The 18230-nt window shown below is 41.6% G+C and overlaps 2 annotated features.

The window, feature by feature from the left end:
• Positions 5571–6119: an enhancer, noted in NCBI's record as "H3K4me1 hESC enhancer chr4:53243316-53243864 (GRCh37/hg19 assembly coordinates)". NCBI's record gives its function as "activates a minimal SCP1, AML or CMV promoter by ChIP-STARR-seq in naive H9 embryonic stem cells {active_cell/tissue: H9 hESC(naive)}" and the evidence as "EXISTENCE:reporter gene assay evidence [ECO:0000049][PMID:30033119]".
• Positions 6120–6667: an enhancer, noted in NCBI's record as "H3K4me1 hESC enhancer chr4:53243865-53244412 (GRCh37/hg19 assembly coordinates)". NCBI's record gives its function as "activates a minimal SCP1, AML or CMV promoter by ChIP-STARR-seq in naive H9 embryonic stem cells {active_cell/tissue: H9 hESC(naive)}" and the evidence as "EXISTENCE:reporter gene assay evidence [ECO:0000049][PMID:30033119]".

The following is an 18230-nucleotide window of genomic DNA, read 5'->3' on the forward strand; positions in this document are numbered from 1 at the left end:
AAACTGTGCTCCCCAGACCAGCACTTCCAGGGAGCTTGTCAGAAATGCAAATCTTAGGCCCGGCATGGTGGCTCAAGGTTATAATCCTAGCACTTTGGGAGGCTGAGGTGGGTGGATCACTTGAGTTCAAGACCAGCCTGGCCAGCATGGTGAAACCCCATCTCTACTAAAAATACAAAAATTAGGCAGGTGTGGTGGCGTGTGCCTGTAATTCCAGCTACTCAGGAGGCTGAGGTGAAAGAATCGCTTGAACCTGGGAGGCAGAGGTTTCAGCGAGCTGATATCAAGCCATTGCACTCCAGCTTGGGCAACAAGAGGAAACTCCATCTCAAACAAACAAACAAAACGAAAAAACAGAAATTCAAATCTCAGGCCCCACCCCAGACCTACTGAATCAGAAACTCCAGGGAGAGTTCACTACCCCACAAGCAGCAATCTGGGTTTTCATAATCGCCCTCCACGTGACTCTGCTGCATGCTCAAGTCTGAGAACCACTGGACTAAATCACTCCCAGGCTGAAATTTAGGCAGTTATAGAATGTACTCTTTCTGGCCATTTGCTTAAGAACACTTTTATTCTTGCAATTAATATGTCATGATGCAAATTTCTACGTAGAGAGAATTTTTCATGTGTTCCAGGGTGGATACAGACTGCAAACCAACTTTATCCGTGCCCCCACTCCCCAACTCAAGATCAGAGTGAATCCATTTTTTAGAAAAGTCTAAAATATCTATTTCATGATGTTTATTCAACCAGACTGTGTGGCTTCATTTTGAAAAGTTGAACTGAAAAAAAAGATGGGATGATTAGCCTTAACCAGAGACTTGAATTACAGCAATGAAACACATAAACACACACTTGACTTGAATTATAGCAATGAAACACATAAACACACACTTGACTTGAATTATAGCAATGAAATACAAAAACACACACTTGTGCCTGCATGCACATTCCCACACACATGCACATACTCTCTCTCTCTCACACACAATTCCATGAAGTGAGTATTGGCTGTCCCTAGCAGCACTTGTGGATCTCAGGGACAGGAAGAAATTGGTGGTTGACCAGGAGAGACCTAATATGCAATACTGTATTGCTTGGCACAAAAATCATACAGTCCCAGGTGAGGAAGGATTATCCTGTGACCTTTTTTGTGTAAGAGAAGATTAGACAGACCTGTCTTCAAAGCCAGCTTCTGACACCTACCAGCAGCAAAATAAGAATAATCATTTTGATCCTGTAGTAACAAGTGCTATCAATAAATGGTTTTATGGTTGCTAACTTTATTATTGCTATTCTCATCATCATGGCAGTGGCCACCTGGAGTTCTTCTAAATACAGTCGCCCTCTTGAGACTTGTAAGCACAGAGAAGGATGACCTCATCAAACTGATTTTTCTATCCAGTCCTGATAAAGGGAGGCTTCAAGAAAGCCCGAAAGAGAGGAGAGGTCTGATAAATTTTAAGCACAACTGTCTCCTCTCCAGGCTCCAAAATAAAGTAGAGCACCTGGGCTTCAGGAAATCGTAGAAGAGAGTAATTGCTTTAAGAATGTTATGTCTCTTTTCTTTGTGATATGCTCATTTTTTAAAGTAACATGATGAGTAACAGCCAACACACTAGTGGAAGCCTAAAGGGAGAGAGGAGGTTGCAAGAGCTTATAAGTAGAGAAAGCAAAATGCAGGGGTCTCAGAAGTGATGGTTAATAATCACAACTAACATTCATTAACTAGGCACTTACAATTTGCCAGCCACCCAAAGGACTCCACCTAGTTTTATCCATATATAATCATGAGCCCCATGTTTCAGATGGAAACCGAGCACCGGATGGCTAAATAAACAAAGTGAATGTGGAAATTTGAACCTGAGTTTTCCTGGCTGTGGAGTTACCACTCTTAACGTGCCGAGCAGTGAGGGGTGACCCCTATAATTAGAACCGCTGGAGTCCTTCTTGCCTCTGCTATAAAGACACCATCATGTCCATTGCCATGTTTGGGGGTGGATATGATGGTGTAGGTGCAGGCTCAACTTCAAATGGAAATACAGAAAAATAATTGCAGCATATTGCAATTAGTGTCATCCTGGGGATGTCTCAATGGGAGCGACAGCTGAGCTGAGACCTGAAGGAGTTACCACTGATCAAGAGGGGGCAGAAGGGAATTCCAGGCAGAGGGAACAGCCAGCATGGATGCCTGGAGGCCTGCAAGTATGGCCCTTTAGTAAGACTTAAGTGTTCAGTGTGGCTAAAATGCAGACCAAGGGTTTTGACGTTACCATGGCAACTGAGGAGTCATTAAATAATTTTAAATAAGGAAGGGTCTTGATCAGATTTGAGTTTTAGAAAGATTGTTCTGGCTGCAGCCTGGAAAATGTGCTGGGTTTGGTAGTTGCTGATCAGAGGCAGAGAGACCATGAACAAATAAGTGTTGAGAATTACTATATGCCCATCATTGTTCTAGCGTTGCACTCTGTGGTAAACTAGGCAGCTTGAAGCATGCTCTCCTGGAACTCACATTCTAAGGGTGGAAGGAAAACAAGCAAGTTGCCACAAACACAGAGGCTATGGAAATTGTTCAGGTAAGAGGTGGAGGTCCTCCCTCCTGTGCTTCTCAGGCTATCTACAGTATAGGGAAGGATTAGATTTCCCTAGCTCATCCCAGACCCATATGTGATCCTAATGGGTGTGATTAGTGCACCCTCACACAACATGGGACCCACCACTCAAGTCTGACAACACATGAACTGGACTTTCTTTATTCTGGGAGACACGTTCATTGATTCTGTGTGTAGATGTTTGCAATAAAAGTTTCTAGAGCTCTACTCTCAATTACTTTCTGTATGTTTGTTTGTTTTGTTGTTTTGTTTGTTTGTTTTGAGACACAGTCTTGGTCTGTCACCAAGGCTGGAGTGCAGTGGCGCAATCCTGGCTCACTGCAACCTCCACATCCCGGGTTCAAGCGATTCTCCTGCCTCAGCCTCCCGAGTAGCTGGGACTACAGGCATGCACAACCATGCCCGACTAATTTTTTTGTATTTTTAGTAGAGATGGAGTTTCGCTATGTTGACCAGGCTGGTCTCAAACTCCCGAGCTCAAGTGATCCGCCCGCCTCAGCCTCCCAAAATGCTAGGCTTGCAGGAGTGAGCCAACATGCCTGGCCTCAGTTACTCTTAATCAGGGTGGACTGTGATGCTTCTCCCTGAGATAGAAGCGGATCTGGAGGAAGGCACAGCATTGGAGATATTGACAAGATGGGCAGCTGGTGGAATACAAGAGATATCTGAGCAGGTGAGTATGTGGGCTTGAATTTTAATCCATGAACAGGTGGGAAGTGCAACACACATTGTCATTTCAGTTCCTTCAACTTAAATATGATTCTGATTCACTGTCCTACATCTTAGATCAACTTGTGTAGATGGTAAAGTTCATTGGAATTGACTCACAGTGAAAAGCAAATACTGTTGCTAACTGAATTACGTTGGAGTGCCTACTGAGAATGTGACAGGGAAGGGAGGAGGGAGGAACAGATCTCGAAGCTGCATGGTTCCTGGGATACACAGCGTGATGGACTCGCTCTTGCTGGTAGGAAACTGCATTTTCCCAAAAGGCCCTGACTCTCCAGGGTGAGGTCCTTGGTCTGAAACCCTGAGCAGAAATCCTTGTTCCAGTAGCTGCAGTAGCCCAGGAAGCAGCAGCAGGCCCTGACTTTCTCGTGTTGGGCAGCCTGCTCCGTGGAGTTGGTCTCAGTGGTCTTCCTTCTGCTCTTGCAGCCAAGTTCTTGGGTTCAGGGGTTGGCTTTTAATGGCCTTCCGCCCTGGAAAACGCACCACCCCGGAGAAGCTCTGAACAGAGGCACTTCACAGGCCTGTCTACCCCCAAAAGATGTTTTTTTAACACAGATGGCTTCCAGGGGAAAAGGGCACACAGGCTTTCACCTTGAATCGGGTGCGATTGTGAAGACTGATCCCCAGAGACTTGGCCCTCCCCACCTCCCACCCCCTTCTATCTTCCCTCCACCACCTCATCCCTGGAGGCTCTCTGAGGACCAGTCCAGGCCACACCCTAGCTCTATGGTAGGAAACCCATCAGAGGGTTGCAAAGTGCCTCGCTGTCACCCCAAATTCAGTGCTAAGTGCAGTGCTGGATGCAGTCGCAGACCCTGACATGCTAAGGAGATTGAAGGAAGATTGTGACCCATCACTAGTCCATACCACCAGCAGTGCATGTTGATAATTTCAGAAATCAAATGATCTGGGGAAGCACCATTATAGTATATTGTATTTGTGTGTGTTAAAAAGACCAATTAAGCTGGACGTGGTGTTGCATGCCTGTGGTCCCAGGTACTCAGGAGGCTGAGTGGGAGGATGGCTTGAGCCCAGTAGGTGGAGGCTGCAGTGAGCTATGATCACACAACTGCATTCCAGCCTGGGCAACAGGGCAAGACCCTGTCCCTTAAAAAGTGTTAAAAATTAAAAAATAAAAAAAAAGACCAATAAGCTAAACATGTTTTAAATATCACAATTGCCATTTCTTCATTAAAAAAAAAACCGAGAACCTCAAGTAGTGAAACTTGTCTGACATTGTCTTGTCATCTAGGACACTTGCTTCTCCCTCACCCACCCATCCCTAGAAACTTGTCCATTGATCTCCTGAGTTAAACAGGAAAAAGAAAAAAGAAAAAGAAAAAGAAAAAGAAAGCAATAATTTGACCAGCAGGGGGCAGCAAGAGACAAAAATAAAACAATCGATTTAGCTTCCCCAGCCCCCAACTTTGCCTGAAATTCTAGATTAGAATGGTTTAAATTGGGAAAAGGATGGTGGAGGAGTGGGGATGGAATCCAAACCACAGAATCCAAATTCATAAAGTTAAGTGGATGCAGAACTTGCTAGAACAAGATTTACAGAGGACGATAGCCAGACAGTCATTTTTTTTTTTCTTGAATTCTATGGAAGAAGGCCGCCCAGCAGATATTTAAAGAGAATCTGGCTGTCTTTGACGATGTCCACGAACTCAGTAACATACATGTTATTTGGGAAATATCCTATAGATAAAGATGAAAGAAAGTGGTTCCCTTTGAAAATTCACCCCACCGTGAATTGAAAATGTGGGTCTCACTACGGGGCAGGAGTACCTGGGCAGCTGGGGTGTCTGGCATCCAGCCCTGGGCATCTCAGGACCCACCTGACCAGGTGAGGAGAAGTGGAAGACTCTGGGAAGAAAGATGGGTGGGCCTTGTGGTCCTGGATGGAATCTCTTACTTCCTGATGAATCCTTAATGTGTATTAAAATGTCAACCCTGATACAAAGAAACGTGGACCCTAAGGAAGAGAGTAAGAGGACACAGAGAAGGAAATTGTGGTCGTGGGAGGCTTCCTCATGGGAAATGTTTATTTGGGGTCCTTGGCTGAAATGGTGGAATTAAAAGTCCTGTAGCCTTCAGGACACGTGAGCTTGTGCCTATTACAGGGACTCTGTATTAGTTTCCTAGGGCTGCCATAACAAAAGTACTACCAACAGGGTGGCATGTGACAACAAAAAATTATTCTCTCACGTTCTGGAGGAGAGAAGTCCAAAACCAGTGTGTTGGCAGACCACGTTCCTCCAAAGCCCCTAAAGAAAAATTATTCTGTATTAGTCTGTTTTCAAACTGATATAAAGTACTACCTGAGGGCGCGGGGCCAGGATGGGTGGGTGACTAGAAACAGCCCTGATCGGAGGTTCCATCAAAAAGAAATATAATAAGTGTGTGAGTGCTTCACTGGCAACCAGGGTATCCAGGTTCTCTCATCAGAACTGACTAGGCGGCTGGAGTGATCCACGGAGAGGAAGGAAGAGCAGTGTTGTGTGGTGGCCCACTTAAGAGCCTCCCAGGGCCGGGGAGTGCCCACCCCCGCCAGCCAAGGGAGGCAGTGAGTGAGCTGCTACCCGGCTGGGGAAACAGTGATTTTTCCATGGAACTGCCCAACTCATGGATCGGAAGATCCCACTTGGGAACCCACACCACTAGGGCCTAGCATCCCCACCTCAGACCCTCGCAGATTCTCATCAGCCTCTCAGCTGGAATCTGCTTAAGCCTACGGAGTTTGGAGCTCGGCGGTCGGGGGGTGGTGGTGCGGAGGAGTGACCAGCACCACAGCTGTGGCTACCTGCTGTCTAAGCCCTTTGAGCTCCTCGGGGGAGGGGCAGCAGCCAGCACTGGGACTCACAACAGCCTAACACGCTAACCTTCCTGCGCTGGGGAAGGACAGCCTCCATCTCTATAGCTCCAGGCTGTGCTTTTCTCCTGCTGGAGCCAGGGAGGCTGGACAGCTTGGTCCCAAGATGTATCCCCCACAGCCCAACACATCAGCTGTGGCAGACTGTGGCCAGAGGTTTCTTCAGGCCTGACCCTGACTCATCCTTCCTCACTGGGTGGGGGTTCCCTGCAGGAACTCCAATAACTCCAGCCAAAGACTCAGGGACAGAACCTAGATCTCCCTGGGCCTGAGCCCCTAGCGGAAGGGGTGGCTGCAGTCTCTGTGGACCAGCAGACTTAGCCTTTCCTCCTGGTAGTTCTGAAGGATCCAGGCAGCCCAGATGAATGGGTTTCCCCCCAGCGAAGCACACCCCTTCCACCAAGGGATAGTCAAAGTGCTTCATTAAATGGGTCTTGTTCCCCATGCAACCCAACTGGTGACATTCTAAAAAAGGGATGTCAGACACCCTATACAGGAGCGATCCTATTGGCATCAGGTCAGTGCCCTTCAAGGTCAGAGATGCCAGCAGAAGGAGCAGACATGCATCTTTGCTGTTCTCCAGCCTCTTGAGTGACATCTCTAGGTGTGGAAGTGAACCAGACCAATAGGGCCTGAAGTGAACCCCCAGCAAACAACAGCAGCCGTACAGAAGAGGGACCTGACCATTGAAAGAAAAAGAAACAAACAGAAAGCAACAACAGCAGCATCAACAACAATAACAAAAAAAAAAAACCCATAAAAACCCCATCCAAGGATCAGCAGCCTCAAAGATCAAAACTAGACAAACTCATGAAGATGCAAAAGAATCAACAAAAAAAACGCTGAAAACCCAAAAGGCAAGAGTGCCTCTTCTCCTCCAAATGATTGCAATGTCTCTCCAGCAAGGGCACAGAACTGGACAGAGGATGAGATGGACAAATTGACAGAAGTAGGCTTCAGAAGATGGGTAATAAAAAACTACGCTGAGATAAAGGAGCACGTTCTAACCCAATGCAAAGCAGCTAAGAACCTTGATAAAAAGAGGAATTGCTAACCAGAATAATCAGTTAAGAGAGGAACATAAACGACCTGATGGAGCTGAAAAACATGGCACAAGAACTTCGTGAAGCATACGCAAGTATCAACCGAGCAGAAGAAAGGATATCAGAGTTTGAACACCATCTTGCTGAAATAAGGCATGCAGACAAGACCAGAGAAAAGAGAATGAAAAGGAATGAAAAAAGCCTCCAAGAAATATGGGACTTTATAAAAAAAACCAAATCTACAATTGACTGGAGTACCTGAAAGAGATGGGGAGAACAGAAACAAGCTGGAAAACACACTTCTGGATATTATCCAAGAGAACTTCCTAAACCTAGCAAGAGAGGCCAAAATTCAAATTCGGGAAATACAGAGAACACGACTAAGATACTTCATGAGAAGGTCAACTTCAAGACACATAATCATCAGATTCTCCAAGGTTGAAATGAAGGAAAAAATATTAAGGGCAGCCAGAGAGAAAGGCCAGGTCACTATGCTTTACCTACAAAGGGAAGCCCATCAGACTAACAGAAGACCTTTCAGCAGAAACTTTACAGCCAGAGGACAATGGGGGCCAATATTCAGCATTCTTAGATAAAAGAATTTTCAACTCAGAATTTCATATCTAGACAAACTAAGCTTCATAAGTGAAGGATAAATAAAATCCTCTCCAGACAAGCAAATACTGTGGAATTTTGTTACCACCAGGCCTGCCTTGTAAGAGCTCCTCAAAGAAGCACTTAATCTGGAAAGGAAAAACTGGTACCAACCACTGCAAAAACACACAAAAATATGAAGACCAATGACACTATGAAGAAACTGCATCAACTAGTGTGCAAAATAACCAGATAGCATCATGATAACAGAATCAAATTCACACATAAAAATACTGACCTTAAATGTAAATGGGCTAAATGCCCCAATAAAAAGACACAGAGTGGCAAATTGGATAAAGATTCAGGACCCATTGGTGTGCTGTATTCAGGAGACCCAACTCATGTGCAAAGACACACATAGGCTCAAAATAAAGGGATGGAGGAAAATTTACCAAGCAAATGGAAAGCAAAAAAAAAAAAAAAAAACAGGGGTTGCAATCCTAGTCTCTGACAAAACAGACTTTAAAATGACAAAGATCAAAAAAGACAAAGAAGGGCATTACATAATGGTAAAGGGAACAATTCAACAAGAAGAACTAACTATTCTAAATATATATGCACCCAATACAGGACCACCTAGATTCATAAAACAAGTTCTTAGACTCCCACACAATAATATTGGGAGACTTTAACACCCCACTGTCAATATTAGACATATCAACAAGACAGAATATTAAGAGGGATATTCAGGACTTGAACTCAGCTCTGGCTCAAGTAGACCTAATAGACATCTACAGAACACTACACCCCAAATCAAAAGAATATACATTCTTCTAAGTGCCACATGGCACTTATTATAAAACCGACCACATAGTTGTAAGTAAAACACTCCTCAGCAAATGCAAAAGAACTGAAATCATAACAGTCTCTCAGACTACAGTGCAATCAAATTAGAACTCAGGATTAAGAAACTCACTCAACCACACAATTACATGGAAATTGAACAACCTATTCCTCAATGACTCCTGGGTAAATGATGAAAATAAGACAGAAATCAATAAGTTCTTTGAAACCAGTGACAATGAAGAGACAACATACCAGAATCTCTGGGACACAGCTAAAGCAGTGTTAAGAGGGAAATTTATATCACTAAATACCTACATCAGAAAGCTAGAAAGATCTCAAATCAACACCCTAATATTACAAGTAAAAGAGCTAGAGGAGCAAGAGCAAACTAATCCAAAAGCCAGCAGAAGACAGAAAATAACTAAGATCAGAGAAGAACTGAAGGAGATAGAGACATAAACCCCGCTCCAAAAAAATCAATGAATTCAGGAGTTGTTTTTTTTAAAATTAACAAAATAGATAGAATGCTAGATAGATGAATAAAGAAGAAAAGAGAGAATAATCAAATAGACACAATAAAAATGATAAAGGGGATATCACCACCAACACCGCAGAAATACAAACTACCATCAGAGAAGACTACAAACACCTCCACGCAAATAAACTAGGAAATCTAGAAGAAACTGATAAATTCCTGGACACATACACCCTCCCAAGACTAAACCAGGAAGAAGTCAAATCCCTGACTAGACCAATAACAAGTTCTGAAATTGAGGCAGTAATTAATACTCTACCAACCAAAAAAAAAAAAAGCCCAGGATTAAATGGATTCACAGCTGAATTCTACCAGAAGTAAAAAGAGGAGCTGGTACCATTCCTTCTGAAAGTATTCCAAACAATTGAAAAGGAGAGACTCCTCCCTAACAAATTCTATGAAGCCAGTATCATCCTGATACCAAAGCCTGGAAGTGACACAACTAAAAAAGAAAACTTCGGACCAATATCCCTGATGAACATTGATGCAAAAATCTTCAATAAAACACTGGCAAACTGAATCCAGCAGCACCTCAAAAAACTTATCCACCATGAACAAGTGGGCTTCTTTCCTTGATGCAAAGCTGGTTCAATGTACACAAATCAATAAACATAATCCATCACATAAACAGAACCAAAGACAAAAACCACATGATTATCTCAATAGATGCATAAAAGGTCTTTGATAAAATTCAACATTGTTTCATGTTAAAAACGCTCAGTAAACTAGATATTGATGGAACTTATCTCAAAATAATAAGAGCCATTTATGACAAACCCATAGCCAATATATTGAATGGGCAAAAGCTGGAAGCATTCCCTTTGAAAACTGGTGCAAGACAAGGAAGCCCACTCTCACCTCTCCTATTCAACATAGTATTGGAAGATCTGGCCAGGGAAATCAGGCAAGAGAAAGAAATAAAGGATATTCAAATAGGAAGAGAGGAAATCAAATTGTCTCTGTTTGCAGATGACATGATTGTATATTTAAAAAAAAAAAACATAATCTCAGCTCAAAAACTCCTTAAACTGATAAGCAACTTCAGCAAAGTTTCAGGATACAAAATCAGTGTGCAAAAATCACAAGCATTACTTTACACCAACAATAGACAAGCAGAGAGCCAAATCATGAATGAATTCCCATTCACAATGACTACAAAGAGAATAAAATACTAGGAATACAGCTAACAAGAGATGTGAAGGACCTCTTCAAGGAGAACTACAAACCACTGCTCCAAGAAATAAGAAGGACACAAACTAATGGAAAAAATCCCATCATCATGGATAGGAAGAATCAATATCATGAAAATGGTCATACTGTCCAAAGTAATTTATAGATTCAATGCTATTCCCATCAAACTACAACTGATATTCTTCAAATAATTAGAAAAAAACTACTTTAAATTTCATATGGAATCAAAGAAGACCCCATATAACCAAAGACAATCCTAAGCAAAAAAAAACAAAACTGGAGGCATCATGCTACCTGACTTGAAACTATTCTACAAGGCTACAGTAACCACGACAGCATGGTACTTGTACGAAAACAGACATATAGACCAATGGAACTGAACAGGGACCTCAGAAATAACATCACACATGTACAACCAAAAACTAGAAATGGGGAAAGGATCTCCTATTCAATAAATTGTGCTGTGAAAACTGGCTAGCAATATGCCTAAAACTAAAACTGGACCCCTTCCTTACACCTTATACAAAAAAGAGGCACTTCTGAGCAAACAGAGCAGATATTACTTTCAAACAGAAAACAGAAACTGGAACCCTCCCTTCCACCTTATACAAAAATTAACTCAAGATGGATTAAAGACTTAAACGTAACACCTGAAACCATAAAAACCCTAGAAGAAAACCTAGGCAACACCATTCAAAACATAGGTATGGGCAAAGACTTCATGACAAAAACACCAAAAGCAATTGCAACAAAAGCCAAAATTGATGAATGGGATCTAATTAAACTAAAGACTTTCTGCACAGCAAAAGAAACTATCATCACAGTGAACAGGCAACCTACAGAATGGGAGAAAATTTTTGCAATCTACACCCATCTGACAAAGGTATAGTATCCAGAATTTACAGGGAATTTAAACAAATTTACAAGAAAAAAGCAAACAACCCCATCAAAAAGTGGGCAAAAGATATGAACAGACACTTCTCAAAAGAAGACATTTGTGTGGCCAACAAACCTATTAAAGAAGCTCAACCTCACTAATCATTAGAGAAATGCAAATCAAAACCACAATGAGATACCATCTCATGCCAGTCAGAATGACAGTTATTAAAATTCAAGAAACAATAGATGCTGTCAAGGCTGTGGAGAAACAGGAACGCTTTTACACTGTTGGTGGGAGTGTAAATTAGTTCAACCATTGTGGAAGACAGTATGGCAATTCCTCAAGGATCTAGAACCAGAAATATCATTTGACCCAGCAATCCCATCACAGGGTATGTACCCAGTGGATTATAAATTATTCTACTATAAAGACACATGCACACGTATTTTTATTGAAGCATTGCTTACAATAGCAAAGTCATGGAACCAGCTCAAATGTCCATCAGTGATAGATTGGATAAAAAAAATGTGGCACATATACACCATGAAATACTACAAAGCCATATAAAGGAATGAGATCATGTCCTTTTCAGGGACATGGATGAAGCTGGAAGCCATCATCCTCAGCAAACTAACACAGGAACAGACAACCAAACACCACATGTTCTCACTCATAAGTTGGAGTTGAACAATGAGAACACATGGACACAGGGAAGAGGATAAAACAGACCAGGGCCTGTTGGAGGATGGGGAGTGAGGGGAGGGAACTTAGAGGACAGGTCAGTAGGTGCAGCAAGCCACCATGGCACACATATACCTATGTAACAAACCTGCACATGTTCTGCACATGTATCCTGGAACTTCTTAAAAAAAAAAAAAAGAACTATCTGAGACTGGGTAATTTGAGAAGAAAAGAGGTTTAATTGACTCATAGTTCCCCAGGCTGTAAAGGAAGCATGTCTAGGAGGTCTCAGGAAACTTACAATCACGGCGAAGGTGAAGGGGAAGAAAGCATGTCTTACCATGTGGAGCAAGAGAGAGAGAGCAAAGGGGGAAGTGCCACACACTTTTATACCATCAGATCTCATGAGAACTCACTCACTATCACAAGAATAGCATGAGGGAAGTCCTCCCCATGACCCAATCACCTCCCACCAGGTTCCTCCCCTGACACGTGGGGGTTACAATTCAACATGAGATTTGGGTGGGACACAGAACAAAAACATATCACCTTCCTTTTCTCTTCCCAGCACCTGGTGGATCCCAGCAGTCCATGGCCTTCTTGGGTAGCAGACTCATCACTCCAGTCACTGCCTCCCTCTTGGCATGGCTTTTTCCCTGTGTATGCATCTGTGTCTAAATCTCCATCTCCTTTCTCTGATAAAGATATCAGTCCCTGGATTGAGGGCCCACCATAATCCAGTATGCCCTCATTTTAACTATTTACATCTGCAAATACCCTGTTTCCAATTCAAGAAACATTCTGAGGTTCCAGATAGATGTGAATTTGGGGGTGAGGGGTCACTATTCAACCCAGGACAGAACAGACCCTGAACAGGAATCATGTTGTGGCAATCAAGCTAGATGATGCTGCACTCAAATCCTGTTACTTGGTCTCCCTAAGCCTTGGCTTTCTCGTCTGTGAAATGGTAGGCAGCATCACCCCTAATGGGATTGGGAGATGAATCTGAGATTATATGCTTAATGCAGTTGATGTACAACAGTGGTCCAGTGGAAAAGCCAGCTGAGCTGTGGTGGAGGAGGCTCTTTGCCTGTTCACAGCCCCAAGGGACCTACCCAGCCCTCACGGGGCATTCCACACATTTCCCCAACTCAAGACCAATGACAGAAAGGGGATGCTTTTGAGCAAGACAGTGATTCCTCAGCCCTCAGATGACATCCAGTGGTGACCACCGTGAGGGAGGAATGTAGCATTTTTATCTTTGTAGCTATCTTATTTAGGACTAAAATGGGAGGTAGGTTTCCCTGATGCAGTTCTCAGCTTGACTTTTCCCTTTGGCTTAGTGAGTTTGGGGTCTCGAGATTTGTTTTCCTTTCACACACCTAACCTCACTACTGGTAGGGCCAGTGCTGGCTGTAGCAAGGATTGTTTTGGAAATCTGGCATAATCAACAACCACAAATCCTGGGAAGAAGATGGGACATTGAGAGAGCTGTGCTGCAGAATTTTTTAATTAAAAAACTTCTTTTAAAGTTTTTTTCCAACTTGATTTATATATATATAATTTCAGCTTTTATTATAGATTAAAGGGTACATGTGCAGGTTTGCTACATGGGTATATTGTGTGACACTGAGGTTTGGGTTCCAAATGATCCCATCACCAAGATAGTGGGCATAGTACCCAATAGGTGTTTTTTCAGCTCACACTCCCCTCTCTCCCCCATCCAGTAGTCCCCAGTGTCTTCTGTTCCCATCTTTATGTCTATCTGTATTCAATGTTTAGCCCCTACTTATAAGTGACAACATTCAGTATTTGATTTTCTATTCTTGAGTTAATTTGCTTAGGATAATGGCCTCCAGCTGCATCCATGTTGCTGCAAAGGACATGATTTCATTCTTTTTTATGGCTGCATAGTATTCCGTGGTGTATATGTACCACATCTTCTTTCTCCAATCCACCGCTGATGGGCACTTAGGTTGATTCCATGTCTTTGCTATTGTAAATAATGACATAGTGAACACATGAGTGCATGTGGTTTTTTTGGTAGAATGATTTGTTTTCTTTTGGATATACACCCAATAATGAGATTTCTAGGTCAGATGGCAGTTCTATTTTAATTTCTTTGAAAGATCTCCAAACCGTTTTCCACATAGGCTGAGTTAGTTTGCATTCCCCTCAACAGTGTACAACCATTCCCTTTTCTTCTCAACCTTGCCAGCATCTGTTATGTTTTACTTCTAAATAATCATCATTCTGACTGGTGTGAGATGGCTTCTCATTGTGGTTTTGATTTGCATTTATCTGGTGAGCACTTTCTCAATTTTTGTTCATCACTTGTATGGCTTCTTTTGAGAAGTGTCTCTTCATGTCCTTTGCCCATTTTTAAATTGGATTATTTGGTTTTTGCTTGTTGATTTAAGTTCCTTGTAGCTTCTGGATATTAGATCTTTGTCAGACACATAGTTTGCAAATATTTTCTCCCATTCTGTAGGCTGTCTGTTTACTCCATTAGTAATTTGCTGTGCAGAAGCTCTTTAGTTTAATTAGGTCCTATTTGTTAATATTTGTTTTTGTTGCAATTGCTTTTGGGGACTTAGCCATAAATTATTTTCCAAAGTTAATATCAAGAAGTGCATTTCCTAGGTTTTTTTCTAATATTTTTATCATTTGAAGTCTTACATTTAAACCTTTAATCCATCTTGAGTTAATTTTTGTAAGATAAGAGATAGGGATCTAGTATCATTCTGCATATAGCTACCCGGTTATCCCAGCACCATTCATTGAATAAGAAGTCCTTTTCCCATTGCTTATTTTTGTCAATTTTGTCAAAGAACAGATGGTTGTAGGTGTGCAGTTTTATTTCTGGGTTCTCTATTTTGTTCCATGAGTCTATGTGTTTGTTTTTGTGCCAGTACCATGCTGTTTTGGTTACTGTATCCCTGTAGTAGATTTTGAAGTCAGGTAATGTGATGTCTCCAACTTTGTTCTTTTTGCTTAGGATTGCTTTTACTATTCAGGCTAGGGCTCTTTTTTGGTTTCAAATGAATTTTAGAACAGATTTTTTTCTAATTCTGTGAAAAATGATATTGGTATTTTCATAGGGATAGCATTGAATCTGCAATTGCTTTGGGCAATATGGCCATTTTAACAGTATTGATTCTTCCAATCCATGAGCATGGAATAGCTTTCCATTTATTTGTGTTGTCTATTTCTTTCAGCAGTGTTTTGTGGCTGTCCTTGTACAGATCTTTCATCTTCCTGTTAGATGAATTCCTAGATATTTCTTTTTTGTGTGGCTATTGTAAATGTTGTTGTGTTCTTGATTTGGTTTTCAGCTAGAACATTATTAGTGTATAGAAATGCGACTTATTTTTGTACATTGATTTTGTATCCTGAAACTTTATTGAATTCGTATCAGTTCCAGGAGACTTTTGGCAGAGTCCTTAGGTTTTTCTATATATAGAATCATATCATCAGTAAAGAAAGATAGTTCATCTTCTTTTCCAATTTGGATGCCTTTTTTTGTTCTCTTGCCTAGTTGCCCTGGCTAGGACTTCCTGATGCAGGCTTTTTATAGGAACATTTGTTTCAGTGACTCTCACTTTGAGGCTGGCTCAGGCATGATACTTAGCATGGTTTCACAGCATACTTTCTGAATGCAGTGTCTACATTGAGGTAGATAACTGCAAAAGTTATTTCATATTTGCCATTGGCATTCATTCATTTAGCAGCCAGAAGTCTTTATTTTATGTCTATTGGATAAATGTATTACTTCAAAAAGCACATTGGGAGGGTGCTAATAACCTTTTTTTGTTTAATCAAGGAAAGATTTTGTATATGCCTAAGAATTTTGTAAGCCTGAATCTTCTTGAGTGAGCCAGTGACAGTTCACTGGTAATATTTGCCTTCCACATCCAGGTTGGCAGAACCCAACCAGACACAAATAAACATTTTAAGGAAGTGCCCTTCTTGTCCCACTGACTCAACAAAGCTACAAAAATATCTGACTGTAGCAGCCAGATCCTTTTGAAAGTGGACCTCCACTGAAATGTACTTTCACCTGTAAGTATACAATGATACATATTGACTTTGTCTGGGATGCCATAGTTTGATCCTTCATTATGATTAGCATCAAACTATATAACCTCATTTATGCAATTATTCATTCATTCAACAAATATCCATGCATCAAGTGGCAGGACTGCCTCTAAAATGTCCCCCAACCATCTCTGCCTCCTGGTACTTATATATTCTCCTACACTTGAGTGTAGGCTGGGCCTAGTGACTTGCTTTTGGCAACAAGAGTGCAGCTAAAGTGATGGCATGTCACTTACAAGATTGGTAGCTTATAAAAGACTAACTTCTCTACTGTTCGCATTCTCTCTCTCTCTCTCTCTCTCTCTCTGTCTGTCTTTCTCTGTATCTTCTTGCTTGCTTTCTCTGATGCAGTAAGTAGTCACGTTGTGGGCTGCCCTATGGAAAGGCTCATGAGAAAAGAGACAGAATCCTGCCGATCCAGTCAGTGAGCTTGGAAGACTCTCCTACCCCAGTCTAGCCTTGAGTTCACTGCAGCCCAAGCTGGTATCTTTTTTAAAAAAAAACGGTTTTCCTGGTTTTGTTTTTTTTTTTTTTTCCCATACTTTAAGTTCTGGGATACATGTGCAGAATGTGCAGGTTTGTTACATAAGTATACACGTGCCATGGTGATTTGCTGGTCCCATGAACCCGTCACCTATATTAGGTATTTCTCCTAATGCTATCCCTCCCCTAGCCCCCCACCCCACCCCTCGACAGTCTCCAGTGTGTGATGTACCCCTCCCCCTGCGTCCATGTGTTCTCATTGTTCACCTCCCACTTATGAGTGAGAACATGCAGTGTTTGGTTTTCTGTTCTTGTGTTAGTTTGCTGAGAATGATGCTTTCCAGCTTCATCCACGTCCCTGCAAAAGACATGAACTCATCCCTTTTTATGGCTGCATATGGTGTATATGTGCCACATTTTCTTTATCCAGTCTATCATTGATGGGCATTTGGCTTGGTTCCAAATCTTTGCTATTGTGAACAGTGCTGCAATAAACATATGGTATGCATGTGTCTTTATAGTAGAATGATTTATAATCCTTTCGGTATATACCCAGTAAAGGGATTGCTGGGTCAAGTGGTATTTTTGGTTCTAGATCCTTTAGGAATCGCCATACTGTCTTCCACAATGGTTGAACCAATTTACACTCCCACCAATAGCATAAAAGCATTCCTATTTCTCCACATCCTCTCCAGCATCTGTTGTCTCCTGACTTTTTAATGATCACCATTCTAACTGGCATGAGATGGTATCTCATTGTGGTTTTGATTTGCATTTCTCTAATGACCAGTAATGATGAGCTTTTTTTCATATGTTTGTTGGCCACATAAATGTCTTCTTATGAAAAGTGTCTGTTCATATCTTTTGCCCACTTTTTGATGGGGTTTTTTTTTCTTGTAAATTTGTATAAGTTATTTATAGATTCTGGATATTAGCCCTTTGTCAGATGGATAGATTGCAAAAATTTTCTCCCATTCTGTAGGTTGCCTGTTCACTCTAATGATCGTTTCTTTTGCTGTGCAGAAGCTCTTTAATTTAGTTAGATCCCATTAGTCAATTTTGGCTTTTGTTGCCATTGCTTTTGGTGTTTTTTTCATGAAGTCTTTGCCCACGCCTATGACCTGAATGGTATTGCCTAGGTTTTCTTCTAGGGTTTTTATGGTTTCAGGTGTTATGTTTAAGTCTTTAATCCATCTTGAGTTAATTTTTGTATAAGGTGTAAGGAAGGAGTCCAGTTTCAGTTTCCTGCATATGGCTAGCCAGTTTTCCCAAGACCATTTATTAAATAGGGAATCCTTTCCCCATTGCTTTTTTTTGTCAGGTTTGTCAAAAATCAGATGGTTGTAGATGTGTGACATTACTTCTGAGGCCTCTGTTCTGTTCCATTAGTCTGTATACCTGTTTTGATACCAGTACCATGCTGTTTTGGTTACTGTAGCTTTGTAGTATAGTTTCAAGTCAGGTAGCCTGATGCCTCCAGCTTTATTCTCTTTGCTTAGGGTTGTCTTGGCTATGCAGGCTCTTTTTTAGTTTCATATTAATTTTAAAGTAGGTTTTTCTAATTCTGTGAAGAATGTCAATGGTAATTTAATGGAAACAGCAGTGAATCTATAAATTACTTTGGGCAGTATGGCCATTTTCACAATATTGATTCTTCCTGTCC

This window comes from Homo sapiens, chromosome 4, assembly GCF_000001405.40.
Source record: "Homo sapiens chromosome 4, GRCh38.p14 Primary Assembly".
In the NCBI taxonomy this organism is placed as follows: domain Eukaryota; kingdom Metazoa; phylum Chordata; class Mammalia; order Primates; family Hominidae; genus Homo; species Homo sapiens.